The 16,244-nt window shown below is 45.7% G+C and overlaps 1 protein-coding gene and 1 long non-coding RNA gene across 6 annotated transcripts in view, besides 1 other annotated feature; both read left to right on the forward strand.

The window, feature by feature from the left end:
* Positions 1 to 3,885: 3,885 nt before the first annotated feature.
* Positions 3,886 to 16,244, forward strand: part of ABHD2 (abhydrolase domain containing 2, acylglycerol lipase) — a 161,358-nt gene continuing 148,999 nt past the window's right edge. For both annotated transcript variants that reach the window (NM_001416423.1, NM_001416424.1), the window contains exon 1: positions 3,886 to 4,188. The gene's annotated coding sequence lies outside the window, so the exon portion shown is untranslated. The remainder of the gene's footprint in view (positions 4,189 to 16,244) is intronic.
* CARMAL (coronary artery disease region linked MFGE8 regulatory lncRNA) overlaps positions 3,886 to 16,244 on the forward strand; it is a 43,232-nt gene continuing 30,873 nt past the window's right edge. For all 4 annotated transcript variants that reach the window (NR_183882.1, NR_183883.1, NR_183881.1 and 1 more), the window contains exon 1: positions 3,886 to 4,188. This is a non-coding gene — a long non-coding RNA (coronary artery disease region linked MFGE8 regulatory lncRNA). The remainder of the gene's footprint in view (positions 4,189 to 16,244) is intronic.
* Positions 11,868 to 12,419: an enhancer, noted in NCBI's record as "NANOG-H3K27ac-H3K4me1 hESC enhancer chr15:89592211-89592762 (GRCh37/hg19 assembly coordinates)". NCBI's record gives its function as "activates a minimal SCP1, AML or CMV promoter by ChIP-STARR-seq in primed H9 embryonic stem cells {active_cell/tissue: H9 hESC(primed)}" and the evidence as "EXISTENCE:reporter gene assay evidence [ECO:0000049][PMID:30033119]".

Raw genomic sequence — 16,244 nt, forward strand, 5'->3', positions numbered from 1 at the left:
TCTCCGTTTAGCAGTCTTTTTTCTTTCTTGTGCATGCAACAATGGTATATCTTATAATTGAGGGCATCTTAGATCTGATGAAATATGAGAGTTCCTCATGGATATTTCTAGAGATATCTTGTGCCTATAAAAGCATATACATAAAAGTATTATTTTTCTCTCAGCCGGGCACAGTGGCTCATGCATGTAATCCCAGCACTTTGGGAGGCCGAGGCAGGCGGATCACCTGAGGTCAGGAGTTCGAGACCAGCCTAACATGGTGAAACCCCATCTCTACTAAAAATACAAAAATTAGCCGGGCATAGTGGTGGGCACCTGTAATCCCAGCTACTCAGGAGGCTGAGGCAGGAGAATCACTTGAACTCGGGAGGCAGAGGTTGCACTGAGCCAAGATTGCGCCATTGCACTCCAACCTGGGCGACAGAGCGAGACTCCGTCTCAAAAAAAAAAGAGAGAAAAAGGATTATTTTTCTCTCAAGTTTATTTGTTTGGAAAACAATAATTTATTGCTCTTCCTTCCAAGTCTTTGTGAATTTACAGAAAAAAAACAAAAACAAAAACAAAAAAACAAAAAGATCAACGTTTACAGACTGTTCAGTTCAGACTAAGAATGCCAGAGATGAGTACCTGTACTGCCGTGGCTGCCGGCTACATGGCACCAATGTTCCCCAGCAGATATGCGCTAAAGTTTAAAACAAGCCCCCTCCAGATTTGTATTATCACCTTCAGAAAGGCTGTATTCCTCACACTGCATCTCACACGACATACTCAGGTCGTTAGTCACATCTGAAAATAAACTGGCCAATAAATGTGTTTCCTTCTGTGCATCTACTTTCCACGAGGCTTCATATTCAATCCACCACCTTTTTAGCCACATTTTCTCTTCTGCTGTTTGTGCTAGAAGTTGTTGCTGTTGGGCTTCTCTGTGTTTTGCCATAAATTGGAGCAAGTTCCAAGCACCAACTACCTTCCTCTTCTCATTTTCTGCTGCTTTTGCAAGTTGGTCCACAGGCTCAATTAAACCACCAACTATTTCTGAAATGGACTGATTTTGCCCACAAAATCCATGCAGTCTTCCTTGGGGTCCCTGGTCTGCTACGTAACCTCAGGGTCCCGCACCCAGGCTTGCTCAGCTCATCAAAACACAGTCCTGCTTCACCCAGGCTGTCCTGGCCTGTTTCCCTTCCAGCTTCCCCGCAGAAGAGTGATTCTGCTCTGCAGGGTGACAGTGGCGGCCAGAGGAGGTGTGTCATCGGAAAGAAAAAAGTCTGCTTGATTGTCACAGGGACCGTTCACTTAACACGTATTTCTCGAGTGTGTGAGCATCTAGTCAATGCTGCTAGATGCCAGAGAGGCAAAGATGACTGCACTTGGTCCTAGCCCCTTGGAGCACCTTGTCTGGCACTGGCCCCACTGCTGCAGCCCTGGCTGAGGTCAGCAGGCTGCTCTCCCTCAAGTCAGTGGCCACCAGAGCCTTACCTGCCAGCCCTGTCTGCCACCATGGCTGCTGGGCCTCCCTCAAGCTTATTTTTGATGTCTATATTGTGGGTCAAATTATAAGAGGCTTTAAAAGGATGAGTGTAAATGGAGGTGTCTGTCCCCTAATGGGTGCCCAGAGGAATTTTTCCATGTCAGGTAAGGATACCTTTTTTTCTGAGGCAGGGTCTCACTCTGTCTCCCAGGCTGGAGTGCAAAGGGCGATCACAGCTCACTGCAGCCTCGACCTCCCAGGCTCAAGCAATCCTCCCACCTTTGCTTCCTGAGTAGCTGGGACTACAGGTGCTTGCCATCACAGCCAGCTAATTTTTTTTTTTTTTTTTTGTATGTTTTTGTAGAGATGGGATTTCACCATGTTGCCCAGGCTGGTCTTAAACTCAGCTCAAGCTATCTGGCCCCCTCTGCCTCCCAAAGTGCTGGGATTACAGGCGTGAGCCACTGCGCCTGCCCACCCGCCCCCCACCCCCCGACTTCTTTCTTTTTAAACATTTTTGTAAACTTCTCTCTTTTTAAACATGCACACTCACTCCACCCAAGCCTCTGAAGACAGAATTCTTGACCCTATTGCACTTACGATCTAATAGAAGAGACACAGATATAATATATTATGGTTTGATATGTTCACTGCTAGAAGTTTATGCCAAGTGCTGCTAGAACATAAATAATGGAGCAGTTCATCTTTCCTGGGGATAGGAGCCAGAGCCACAGTGAGCGCTGTTGACTGGGGTCTTAAAATTAAGCTGCATATGCCAAGCAGGGAAAGCGGGAAAGAGCATTGCCAGCAAAGGGAGCAGTATGATCAAAATTCCAAAGCAGTGCGTGCCAAAGGGCGTGTCATGAGCTGGAAAAGGTATGGTAGCACTGGTCAAGATTGCAATTTCAGTGTTCTTTTTTTTTTTTTAATTGAGACAGAGTCTCACTCTGTCACCCAGGCTGGAGTGCAGTGGCGCGATCTCAGCTCGCTGCAACTTCCACCTCCTGGGTTCAAGCAGTTTTCCTGCCTCAGCCTCCGGAGTAGCTGGGATTACAGGCACCCGCCACCACACCCAGCTGATTTTTGTATTTTTAGTAGAGACGGGGTTTCACCGTGTTGGCCAGGCTGGTCTCGAACTCCTGACCTCAAGTGATCCTCTCATCTTGGCCTCCAAAAGTGCTGGGATTACAGGCATGAGTCATGGCACCCGGCCAGTTTCAGGGTTTGTTTGAAATGATCACTTAATGAGTAACTGTCTCCCCTACTAGACTGTAAACTCTATGAGGGCCGGGGCTGGGTCTGTGTTCAACCACACTATGCCCCAGTGCTGAGCATGTCATGGCATTCAAATAAATATCCGTTGGATGGATGAATGGATGGAAGAAAGGAGGGATGAAATTTTTTAATTAAGAGATGTGTGCCAATTTTGGCAAATTTGTCAAAAATTTTGAAGAAAGTTTTTCTCAGTGAATATGAATATATTCCACTTGTGAATCTATTCACAGACTATGGGCTTGCTGGAACCTAAGAGTCATCGAGTAGTTTAGACTTCTTATCAATAGATTTTTATTTATATTCATAAGAGTATATTCTTGAATATATTTACTAATGCATTCATTAACAGTATATATTCGTATTCATTGAAAACATTAAAGAAAAAATTCTTTAGAATGGACAAATCAGAATATTTCACTTTTTTTTTTTTTTTTTTTTTGAGGCAGAGTCTGGCTCTGTTGCCGGGCTGGAGTGCAGTGGCACGATCTTGGCTCACTACAACCTCTGCCTCCTGGATTCAAGCGATTCTCCTGCCTCAGCCTCCCAAGAAGCTGGGACTACAGGTGCGTGCCACCACACCCAGATAATTTTTGTATTTTTAGGAGAGGCGGGGTTTCACCATGTTGGTCAGGGTGGTCTTGATCTCTTGACCTTGTGATCCGCCCGCCTTGGCCTCCCAAAGTGTTGGGATTACAGGCGTGAGACACAGTGCCCAGCCTAGAATATTTCATAAATGTAGCAAATTGGCTTTAGGGAACTTTTTCTGCTTCCAGCATTCAGCAGCTATTTGAAGGGTTTTGGAAGCAAAGGAATGGAGGGAGACAGGACGGCACCCTGAGGGAGACGCAGGGCTGAACGGAGCTGTTCGGGGATAGCTGTGGCTTGAGTGGGTCTGTTGGCTGAAAGGAGGGATTCGTTGAAGAAGGAGCAATGGACGAGGTGAGAGAGAGGATACTGGATGGAACCAGGTTTCAGAGGAGGCTGATGGGAGAATGTGAGGAGCACCAAAGCGAGCCTTAGGAAAAAGAAGTTCAGACAGACAGACACTTCGGTAAACCACAGCTCCCAGTATTCACCACTGTGTGTAGTCTCCTCCCACACTGACTCTGGGCTTGGTCAGCTGACAAGCTTTGGCCAATAGGGCTCTAGCAAGAAGATGCCAGCAGAGGCTTGAAAAGTGCCTACCCCTGGCCTGGGATGCTTCCTCCTGGGATGCTCCCACTTGGAACCCAACTATTGTGCTGCAGAAGTTTAACTTAACTGTGTAAGGAGGCCAAGAGGAGGCCCTGGCTGCCAGCCAGCATCAACTTCCAGTGACGTGAGTGTGCCATTCTGGAACTGGATCCTGCAGCCTCGGTGGAGCAGCCTCAGCTGATGCCATGTGGAACAGAGATGAACTGCCGCTGCCGAGCTCTGCCCACGTTGCAGAATCATGAGCAAATGTGAGTTTTGTGGTTTTAAGCCACGAAGTTTAGAGGTGGTTTGCAATAGAATGGAGGGGACTGCTTTTCTTCTGAGTTTCGGATTGAATTCTGCTTTACTATAACTTATTTATTATATATTTGTAACAATTCTGTCTCCACCCATCAGTATTCACCCGCCTAAGGGCACAGAGGCACCAGGACTCTGGGAACCTTCCTTGATGTCTGGATCTACTGCAGTGACTCTTAGTGCAGCAGTTAAAAGCCAGACTGTCCTAGTGTGAATCCGGCCTTGGCTATTCATTGGCTGGAAGACCTGAGCCAAGCCTGTGCCTCTGTCCGGGCATCTGGGTAGATGTCCTAGGAGTCCACTAAGAAGAAAACTGAGGCCAGTGAGAGGCAGAGTTGAGGCAAGGCGCAACTCTATTCCCCTGCTGGGGAAAGCAGCTCTGCCCCTCGGTCTGCCCTGCTGACCAGGCATGACACACCACCTCATCAGCAGGGCCCACGGCACCCAGACCTGGCCTGGAGGGGCTGAGACAGCATTGCTAGGGGTCAGATGGTCACAGAATAAGCAACCTGAGACCTGGAAGGGCATAAGCATCTTCCCCTACCTGGAATCAGAGGCATAGCTGAGGTCAAACATCAGGGCAGGAGGGCCTGGAGGGGGTCGGAACCAGAGGTCACCCGGGTGTTTGGTTGGGAGGGGCGTCCATCTTTATCTTATCCATCACCATCACCATTATTGCTAAACATACAGTGAGCATTACTATGTGCCGAGCACTCATCTAAGCCCTTTATACTTCTAAACTTCTAAACTTATCCTCATAGCCACTTTTGGACACCAGTACATTATTGTCTCCACATCATAGCTGAGGACTCAAGGGACAGAGGGGTTTTGTAACCTGCTGAAGAACATGCAGCAGCTGCATAGCATAGCCAGGATTTGAACCCTGGCAGCCTGGATCCAGAGCCTGCTTAGGACCACTCAGTGACACTATTGAGGATTTCAGCCACCTTCTCCATAACACTATAGTCTTGCTTTTACCCTACTCCCTCAAACATCTTTTTACCAGGTCAACATTAGCTTAAAAACTGAGACACTTTTCTTATTGAAGCACATGCTCCAAGTACACCCTCTCTGCTCCCCAATTAGACCATCATTCCTGCCTTCCCTCCGTCTTATCTCTTCTAAATCCTTACACCGAGTGCCACCTCCTCCATGAAGATTTCCTGTCCTGGTTACTTCCCACCTGGAAATTTATACCTTCTCTCTTTCTTTTTTATTTCCTTTTCTTTCTTTCTTTCTTATTTATTTATTTATTTATTTATTTATTTATTTATTTATTTATTTTGGAGACTTTTTGTTTTTTCTTTTCTTTTTCGAGACAGAGTCTTGCTCTGTCGCCCAGACTGGAGTACAGTGGGGTGATCTTGGCTCACTCTAGCCTCTGCCTCCCGGGTTCAAGTGACTCTCATGCCTCAGCCTCCCAAGTAGCTGGGACTACAGGTGTGTGCCACAAAGCCTGGCTAATTTTTTTTTTCTTTTTTTCTTTTTTTGCATTTTTAGTAGAGGTAAGGTTTCACTGTGTTGGCCAGGCTGGCCTCAAGCTCCTGGCCTCAAGTGATCCACCCGCCTCAACTTCCCAAAGTGCTGGTATTACAGGCATAAGCCACGGCGCCCGGCCTATACCTTCTTTCTTAATTTGCCCAGCACCATTTGTTTCCTCCACTAGTACATATTCCACGGCTTGCCGTAATCTGCTTTGATGCCTATGCTGACCACTGGGATGAGCCCCAGGGGCCCTCCCTTCACCATTCTGACAAATGTTCTTCCCAAAACCATGGGAGTAGCTAGGAAAAGGTAACCAACAGGGCTGTGGAGAAGACAGACAGAAGTAAGACATACAGTCCCTCAGAAGGTGGCAGCCAACCCTGCCTGAGCTCTTCTAGCACCCTAGGGGGGCAAGTTTGCTTTCAGCAGAAGAGCTGGGGTTTGGGCTGGGCATGGTGGCTCATGCCTGTAGTCCCAGCTACTGAGGAGGCTGAGGTGGGAGGATTACTTTAGCCCAGGAATTCAAGGTTAGGGTGAGCTATCTTTGTGCCACTGCACTTCAGCCTGGGCAACAGATCAAGACCCTATCTCTTTTTTAAAGAAGAAGAAGAAGGAGGAGGAGGAGAAGGAGAAGGAGAAGGAGAGGAAGAAGGGGGAGGGGGAGGAAAAGAAAGAGGAAGGAGGAAGAGGAGGGAGGAGGGGAAGGGAAAGAGGAAGGAGGAGGAGAGGAAGAGGAAGAAAAGAAGAAGAGGAAGAAGGAGGAGGAGAGGAGGAGGAGACGAGGAGGCGGAAGGAGGAGGAGGAGGAGGAAGGAGAAGGAGGAGGAGGAGAGGGAGGAGGAGAAGGAGGAGGGGGAGGAGGAGGAGAGGAGGAGGAAGAGGAGGGAGAAGGAGGAGGGGGAGAAGGAGGAGGAGGAAGAGGAGAAGAAGAAGGAGGAGGAGGAGATCTAGAGTTGAAGGCAATCTACAAGGTATATCAGCTTGGGATAAATATTTTGATATATTCATCTATGAGTTTTGTTCCCCTCCTCTTTGTATTTTTCTCTTTTCTTTTTTTTTCCTTTTTTTAATTTTTTATTATTATTATACTTTAAGTTTTAGGGTACATGTGCACAATGTGCAGGTTAGTTACATATGTATACATGTGCCATGCTGGTGTGCTGCACCCACTAACTCGTCATCTAGCATTAGGTATATCTCCCAATGCTATCCCTCCCCACTTCCCCCAACCCACAACAGGCCCCAGAGTGTGATGTTCCCCTTCCTGTGTCCATGTGTTCTCATTGTTCAATTCCCACCTATGAGTGAGAATATGCAGAGTTTGGTTTTTTGTTCTTGCGATAGTTTACTGAGAGTGATGATTTCCAGTTTCATCCATGTCCCTACAAAGGACATGAACTCATCATTTTTTATAGTTGCATGGTATTCCATGGTGTATATGTGCCACATTTTCTTAATCCAGTCTATCATTGTTGGACATCTGGGTAGGTTCCAAGTCTTTGCTATTGTGAATAATGCCGCAATAAACATAGGTGTGCATGTGTCTTTATAGCAGCATGATTTATAGTCCTTTGGGTATATACCCAGTAATGGGATGGCTGGGTCAAATGGTATTTCTAGTTCTAGAGCCCTGAGGAATCGCCACACTGAATTCCACAATGGTTGAACTAGTTTACAGTCCCACCAACAGTGTAAAAGTGTTCCTATTTCTCCACATCCTCTCCAGCACCTGTTGTTTCCTGACTTTTTAATGATTGCCATTCTAACTGGTGTGAGATGGTATCTCATTGTGGTTTTGATTTGCATTTCTCTGATGGCCAGTGATGGTGAGCATTTTTTCATGTGTTTTTTGGCTGCATAAATGTCTTCTTTTGAGAAGTGTCTGTTCACGTCCTTCGCCCACTTTTTGATGGGGTTGTTTGTTTTTTTCTTGTAAATTTGTTTGAGTTCATTGTAGATTCTGGATATTAGCCCCTTGTCAGATGAGTAGGTTGTGAAAATTTCCTCCCATTTTGTAGGTTGCCTGTTCACTCTGATGGTAGTTTCTTTTGCTGTTCAGAAGCTCTTTAGTTTAATTAGATCCCATTTGTCAATTTTGGCTTTTGTTGCCATTGCTTTTGGTGTTTTAGACATGAAGTCCTTGCCCATGCCTATGTCCTGAATGGTAAAGCCTAGGTTTTCTTCTAGGGTTTTTATGGTTTTAGGTCTAACGTTTAAGTCTTTAATCCACCTTGAATTGATTTTTGTATAAGGTGTAAGGAAGGGATGCAGTTTCAGCTTTCTACATATGGCTAGCCCGTTTTCCCAGCACCATTTATTAAATAGGGAATCCTTTCCCCATTGCTTGTTTTTCTCAGGTTTGTCAAAGATCAGATAGTTGTAGATATGCGGCGTTATTTCTGAGGGCTCTGTTCTGTTCCATTGATCTATATCTCTGTTTTGGTACCAGTACCATGCTGTTTTGGTTACTGTAGCCTTGTAGTATAGTTTGAAGTCAGGTAGTGTGACGCCTCCAGCTTTGTTCTTTTGGCTTAGGATTGACTTGGCGATGCAGGCTCTTTTTTGGTTCCATATGAACTTTAGTTTTTTCCAATTCTGTGAAGAAAGTCATTGGTAGCTTGATGGGGATGGCATTGAATCTATAAATTACCTTGGGCAGTATGGCCATTTTCACAATATTGATTCTTCCTACTCATGAGCATGGAGTGTTCTTCCATTTGTTTGTATCCTCTTTTATTTCCTTGAGCAGTGGTTTGTAGTTCTCCTTGAAGAGGTCCTTCACATCCCTTGTAAGTTGTATTCCTAGGTATTTTATTCTCTTTGAAGCAATTGTGAATGGGAGTTCACTCATGATTTGGCTCTCTGTCTGTTGTTGGTGTATGAGAATGCTTGTGATTTTTGTACATTGATTTTGTATCCTGAGACTTTGCTGAAGTTGCTTATCAGCTTAAGGAGATTTTGGGCTGAGACAATGGGGTTTTCTAGATATACAATCATGTCACCTGCAAACAGCGACAATTTGACTTCCTCTTTTCCTAATTGAATACCCTTTATTTCCTTCTCCTGCCTGATTGCCCTGGCCAGAACTTCCAACACTATGTTGAATAGGAGTGGTGAGAGAGGGCATCCCTGTCTTGTGCCAGTTTTCAAAGGAAATGCTTCCAGTTTTTGCCCATTCAGTATGATATTGGCTGTGGGTTTGTCATAGATAGCTCTTATTATTTTGAAATACGTCCCATCAGTACCTAATTTATTGAGAGTTTTTAGCATGAAGATTTGTTGAATTTTGTCAAAGGCCTTTTCTGCATCTATTGAGATAATCATGTGGTTTTTGTCTTTGGTTCTGTTTATGTGCTGGATTACGTTTATTGATTTGCGTATATTGAACCAGCCTTGCATCCCAGGGATGAAGTCCACTTGATCATGGTGGATAAGCTTTTTGATGTGCTGCTGGATTTGGTTTGCCAGTATTTTACTGAGGATTTTTGCATCGATGTTCATCAAGGATATTGGTCTAAAATTCTCTTTTTTGGTTGTGTCTCTGCCCGGCTTTGGTATCAGGATGATGCTGGCCTCATAAAATGAGTTAGGGAGGATTCCCTCTTTTTCTATTGATTGGAATAGTTTCAGAAGGAATGGTACCAGTTCCTCCTTGTACCTCTGGTAGAATTTGGCTGTGAATCCATCTGGTCCTGGACTCTTTTTGGTTGGTAAGCTATTGATTATTGCCACAATTTCAGCTCCTGTTATTGGTCTATTCAGAGATTCAACTTCTTCCTGGTTTAGTCTTGGGAGAGTGTATGTGTCGAGGAATTTATCCATTTCTTCTAGATTTTCTAGTTTTATTTGCGTAGAGGTGTTTGTAGTATTCTCTGATGGTAGTTTGTAGTTCTGTGGGATCGGTGGTGATATCCCCTTTATCATTTTTTATTGCATCTATTTGATTCTTCTCTCTTTTTTTCTTATTAGTCTTGCTAGCGGTTTATCAATTTTGTTGATCCTTTCAAAAAACCAGCTCCTGGATTCATTAATTTTTGAAGGGTTTTTTGTGTCTCTATTTCCTTCAGTTCTGCTCTGATTTTAGTTATTTCTTGCCTTCTGCTAGCTTTTGAATGTGTTTGCTCTTGCTTTTCTAGTTCTTTTAATTGTGATGTTAGGGTTTCAATTTTGGATCTTTCCTGCTTTCTCTTGTGGGCATTTAGTGCTATAAATTTCCCTCTACACACTGCTTTGAATGCGTCCCAGAGATTCTGGTATGTTGTGTCTTTGTTCTCGTTGGTTTCAAAGAACATCTTTATTTCTGCCTTCATTTCGTTATGTACCCAGTAGTCATTCAAGAGCAGGTTGTTCAGTTTCCATGTAGTTGAGCGGTTTTAAGTGAGATTCTTAATCCTGAGTTCTAGTTTGATTGCACTGTGGTCTGAGAGATAGTTTGTTATAATTTCTGTTCTTTTACATTTGCTGAGGAGAGCTTTACTTCCAAGTATGTGGTCAATTTTGGAATAGGTGTGGTGTGGTGCTGAAAAAAATGTATATTCTGTTGATTTGGGGTGGAGAGTTCTGTAGATATCTATTAGGTCCAGTTGGTGCAGAGCTGAGTTCAATTCCTGGGTATCCTTGTTGACTTTCTGTCTCATTGATCTGTCTAATGTTGACAGTGGGGTGTTAAAGTCTCCCATTATTAATGTGTGGGAGTCTAAGTCTCCTTGTAGGTCACTCAGGACTTGCTTTATGAATCTGGGTGCTCCTGTATTGGGTGCATATATATTTAGGATAGTCAGCTCTTCTTGTTGAATTGATCCCTTTACCATTATGTAATGGCCTTCTTTGTCTCTTTTGATCTTTGTTGGTTTAAAGTCTGTTTTATCAGAGCCTAGGATTGCAACCCCTGCCTTTTTTTGTTTTCCATTTGCTTGATAGATCTTCCTCCATACTTTTATTTTGAGCCTATGTGTGTCTCTGCATGTGAGATGGGTTTCCTGAATACAGCACACTGATGGGTCTTGACTCTTTATCCAATTTGCCAGTCTGTGTCTTTTAATTGGAGCATTTAGTCCATTTACATTTAAAGTTAATATTGTTATGTGTGAATTTGATCCTGTCATTATGATGTTAGCTGGTTATTTTGCTCGATAGTTCATGCAGTTTCTTCCTAGTCTCGATGGTCTTTACATTTTGGGCATGATTTTGCAGCAGCTGGTACCGGTTGTTCCTTTCCATGTTTAGCGCTTCCTTCAGGAGCTCTTTTAGGGCAGGCCTGGTGGTGAGAAAATCTCTCAGCATTTGCTTGTCTGTAAAGTATTTTATTTCTCCTTCACTTATGAAGCTTAGTTTGGCTGGATATGAAATTCTGGGTTGAAAATTCTTTTCTTTAAGAATGTTGAATATTGGCCCCCACTCTCTTCTGGCTTGTAGAGTTTCTGCCGAGAGATCCGCTGTTAGTCTGATGGGCTTCCCTTTGAGGGTAACCCAACCTTTCTCTCTGGCTGCCCTTAACATTTTTCCTTCATTTCAACTTTGGTGAATCTGACAATTATGTGTCTTGGAGTTGCTCTTCTCGAGGAGTATCTTTGTGGCGTTCTCTGTATTTCCTGAATCTGAACGTTGGCCTGCCTTGCTAGATTGGGGAAGTTCTCCTGGATAATATCCTGCAGAGTGTTTTCCAATTTGGTTCCATTCTCCCCGTCACTTTCAGGTACACCAATCAGACGTAGATTTGGTTTTTTCACATAGTCGCATATTTCTTGGAGGCTTTGCTCATTTCTTTTTATTCTTTTTTCTCTAAACTTCCCTTCTCTCTTCATTTCATTCATTTCATCTTCCATCACTGATACCCTTTCTTCCAGTTGATCGCATCAGCTCCTGAGGCTTCTGCATTCTTCACGTAGTTCTCGAGCCTTGGTTTTCAGCTCCATCAGCTCCTTTAAGCACTTCTCTGTATTAGTTATTCTAGTTATACATTCTTCTAAATTTTTTTCAAAGTTTTCAACTTCCTTGCCATTGGTTTGAATGTCCTCCCGTAGCTCGGAGTAATTTGATCGTCTGAAGCCTCCTTCTCTCAGCTCGTCAAAGTCATTTGTTCCGTTGCTGGTGAGGAACTGCGTTCCTTTGGAGGAGGTGAGGCGCTCTGCTTTTTAGAGTTTCCATTTTTTCTGCTCTGTTTTTTCCCCATCTTTGTGGTTTTATCTACTTTTGGTCTTCGATGATGGTGATGTACAGATGGGTTTTTGGTGTGGATATCCTTTCTGTTTGTTAGTTTTCCTTCTAACAGACAGGACGCTCAGCTGCAGGTCTGTTGGAGTACCCGGCCGGCCGTGTGAGGTGTCAGTCTGCCCCTGCTGGGGGGTGCCTCCCAGTTAGGCTGCCCGGAGGTCAGGCATCAGGGACCCACTTGAGGAGGCAGTCTGCCCGTTCTCAGATCTCCAGCTGCATGCTGGGAGAACCACTGCTCTCTTCAAAGCTGTCAGACAGGGACATTTAAGTCTGTAGAGGTTACTGCTGTCTTTTTGTTTGTCTGTGCCCTGCCCCCAGAGGTGGAGCCTACAGAGGCAGGCAGGCCTCCTTGAGCTGTGGTGGGCTCCACCCTGTTCGAGCTTCCTGGCTGCTTTGTTTACCTAAGGAAGCCTGGGCAATGGCGGGCGCCCCTCCCCCAGCCTCGCTGCCGCCTTGCAGTTTGATCTCAGACTGCTGTGCTAGCAATCAGTGAGACTCCGTGGGCGTAGGACCCTCTGAGCCAGGTGTGGGTTATAATCTCCTCGTGCGCCGTTTTTTAAGCCCGTCGGAAAAGCGCAGTATTCAGGTGGGAGTGACCCGATTTTCCAGGTGGCTTCTGTCACCCTTTTCTTTGACTAGGAAATGGAACTCCCTGACCCCTTGCACTTCCCAAGTAAGGCAATGCCTCGCCCTGCTTTGGCTGGCGCATGATGCACGCACCCACTGACCTGCGCCCACTGTCTGGCACTCCCTAGTGAGATGAACCCGGTACCTCAGATGGAAATGCAGAAATCACCCATCTTTTGCATCGCTCATGCTGGGAGCTGTAGACTGGAGCTGTTCCTATTCGGCCATCTTGGCTCCTCCCCCGTATTTTTCTCTTTTCTATTCCTCCAAATGTGCAAGTAGTGGGCTCTGGGCAGGGCTGTGACAGAGCAGAAAATAAAAGTTGCCCACCAAACACTAACTCCCTTCCTGGACTACATTTTCATAGGTCTAGTCTAAGACTCCCTGAGGTAGAAAGAATTTCATAGAGAAGACAAAATGTCTTGGAGAAAGATGAAAGACAAAGGGTTCATCCACCCAGGGCAGAGGGGCTATGAGGAGGGAGAGGTCATGGGTCCCAGGAACAGAGCAGACCTGGCCTGTCTCCCTAGTAGACCCCAGAAGCCACACACATGAACCCAGAGAAGGATCACAGAAGAGTGTCATGGGGCGGGGGTCACTTAGATGGAATTTGCCGAGACTCTGGGCCTGAGCCTATGGAGCAGGGATGGCGGATGTCTCAGCAGCAACCATGTGGACATGTGTCCAATGAAGAAATGCTTTGCACACAGCCTAAGATTCCAGACCCAGAGAACAACCATGGGGCTATGGGTCAGGGAGGAGCAGGGAACACATCTTCAAGAACCGGGGTTAAGTTCCCCCCAGTTTAGCAGACTAGCTGATTTGTAAAACACAAAGTTAAACTTCATGTGCACCTGAGTTTGTGAACTGACATTTCCACCCACTGCACGTGTTCCCACATTGTGAGTCCTGGGGATCCAATCTGTTCCCGTTTTTGTTGGAGCAAGGGAGCCCACAAACTCACTAGAACCCATCTGCTGGGATGGGAGGTGGAGAGGAGAGGGCTGGCTTTCCCTCAGATGCCAGGCAACTGTTTCTAGGTTGCTAATCTTGCCACCTTCCCAGTTCCCTCAGCCCTGAGGAAGGCAAGGGCAGCCTGAGTTACCCCCATGAGTTAGGGAGCTTGGGGAAAACATGCACAAGTGGCCAGGAGACTGAGGGAAAGGAGGCTGCATGCAGGCTGGGGATTTAAAACCTTTTTGAGAATGATCTACTGAGCATCTGCTATGTACCAGGTCCTGGGCTAAAATCTGGAAGATAAATTAAAAAAAAAAATAGGCCAGGCACAGTGGCTCATACCTGCAATCCCAGCACTTTGGTAGGCCCAGGTGGTTGGATCACCTGAGGTCAGGAGTTGGAGACAAGCCTGGCCAGCATGGCGAAACCCCATCTCTACTAAAAATACAAAAATTAGCTGGGCGTGGTGGTGCGCGCCTGTAATCCCAGCTACTCAGGAGGCTGAGGCAGGAGAATTGCTTCAACCCAGGAGGCGGAGGTTGCAGTGAGCCAAGATCATGCCACTGCACTCCAGCCTGGGTGACAAGAGTGAAACTCTGTCTCAATAATAATAATAAGTATGCTAGAAAGCACTGTTTCAGAGCCTGGCACATAGTAGATGCTTCATAAATCCTATATACCTCATACTCTTCCTGGAAGGATACAAAGATGTGGGAAATACAGTTTCACTCTCAAGAATCCTAAGATTTTGTAAGAGGGTGAAGACTCTCATGCACAGCTCTCTACAACCCAGGTAAAACAAGATGAACACCGTAGCTCAGGCCTAAGGATACAATGGCTCAAGGGAGGGACAGAGAACACCTGGGTGAAGCTTCACTTTGAGGTACTGATATGGTTTGGCTGTGCCCCCACCCAAATCTCATCTTGAATTGTAGCTCCCACAATTCCCACATGTCATGGGAGGGACCTGGTGGATAACCGAATCATGGGGGCGGGTCTTTCCCGTGTTGTTCTCGTGATAGTGAAGAAGTCTCACAAGATCTGATGGTTTTATAAAGGAGAGTTCCCCTGCAGATGCTCTCTCTTGCCTGCTGCCATGTAAGACATCCCTTGCTCTTCCGCCATGATTGTGAGGTGTCCCCAGCCATCTGGAACTGTGAGTCAATTAAACCTCTTTCCTTTATAAATTACCCAGTCTCAGGTGTGTCTTTATTAACAGCGTGAGAACAAACTAATAGAGGTACCATGTCAATATTGAGGGTACATATAGGGGAGGTGGGAGGTGAGGAGGTGGACAGAGAACAGGACTCGTGAGAAGCTATTGGTAGACTGAGCCACAGGAGAATATATTCTGGCAGTCACTAACTTCCAGAGTGAAAGTTCACATGCAAATCAGTCGTTTGGAATTTGGAATGCATTTTCCCATGGGAACAATACCATACATGGAGGCTGAGATCTTAGGCCAGAGGATGGAAACAGATTTACTCCCACAGTATTATTCAACTAGGTTACTCATAGCATTACTTAGTTCAGAATTCAGGGAGATGGGAGCCCTGTGGCCCACCTCATTGTGGGGCTGGACCTGCCCTAGGTCAAGGTCTTTTTTGTCTTGGGTATGGAATGGTTTAGGAGGAGATTAAATTTGAGAAATCATAAAGCTGATTCTAATTGCATTTAATGGCAAAACTATCAGCTGACATACATGTGTAATTACATATTAGAGTATTCAGGAGAAAGTGATGAAATAAATTCTAAATTACTACCAAATCAGCAGGCAGGCTAATCTTAGAATTTCATGGTGGCCAAAGCAGTACTGTTTGATGTAAATGCCTCCTAATCCCTAATTCAATATGACTGCTGTCTTTATTAAAAAGGAGGGTTTGGACCCAGAGACAGACAGACAGACAGACAGACAGACAGACAGACAGACACACACACACACACACACACGACACACACACAAGGAGAAAGCCATGTGAAGATGAGGGCAGAGATTGGGCAATGTTTCTACAAGCCAAGGAGCTCGAAAGATTGCCTGCAAACCACAAGCAGGGGAGCAGCATGGAACAGATCCTCACAGAGCTCACAGGGAGGCCATCCAGCCAATACCCTGATCTCAGACTTCAGCCTCCAGAACTGTGAAACAACACATTTCTGTGGTTTAAGCCACAGACCTCTCCCTCCTCATGGCGCCCCTTCCCTGAGGGGATGTACCCTTTGCCTTTCACCTTTCTCCAAGACATTTTGTCTTCTCTAGGAAATTCTTTCCACCTCAGGGTGTCTTAGACTAGACCTATGAAAACGTAGTCCAGGAAGGGAGCTAGTATTTGGTGGGCAGCTTTTTTTTTTTTTTTTGAGATGGAATCTCACTCTGCTGCCCAGGCTGTAGTGCAGTGGCGTGGTCTTGGCTCACTGCAACCTCTGCCTCCCGGGTTCAAGCGATTCTCCTGCCTCCACCCCCGAGTAGCTGGGACTACAGGCACGTGCCACCACGCCTGGCCAATTTTTTGTATTTTTAGTAGAGACGGGGTTTCACTGTGTTCGCCAGGATGGTCTCAATCTCCTGACCTTGTGATCCGCCCACCTCAACCTCCCAAAGTGCTGGGATTACAGGCATGAGCCACCGTACCCGGCCTGTGGGCAGCTTTGATTTTCTGCTCTGTCACAGCCAGCCCAGAGACAGTAGTAACTTGTGGTACTTTGTTACGGCAGCCCTAGCAAACTAA

Source organism: Homo sapiens, chromosome 15 (genome assembly GCF_000001405.40).
Source record: "Homo sapiens chromosome 15, GRCh38.p14 Primary Assembly".
Classification (NCBI taxonomy): Eukaryota; Metazoa; Chordata; class Mammalia; order Primates; family Hominidae; genus Homo; species Homo sapiens.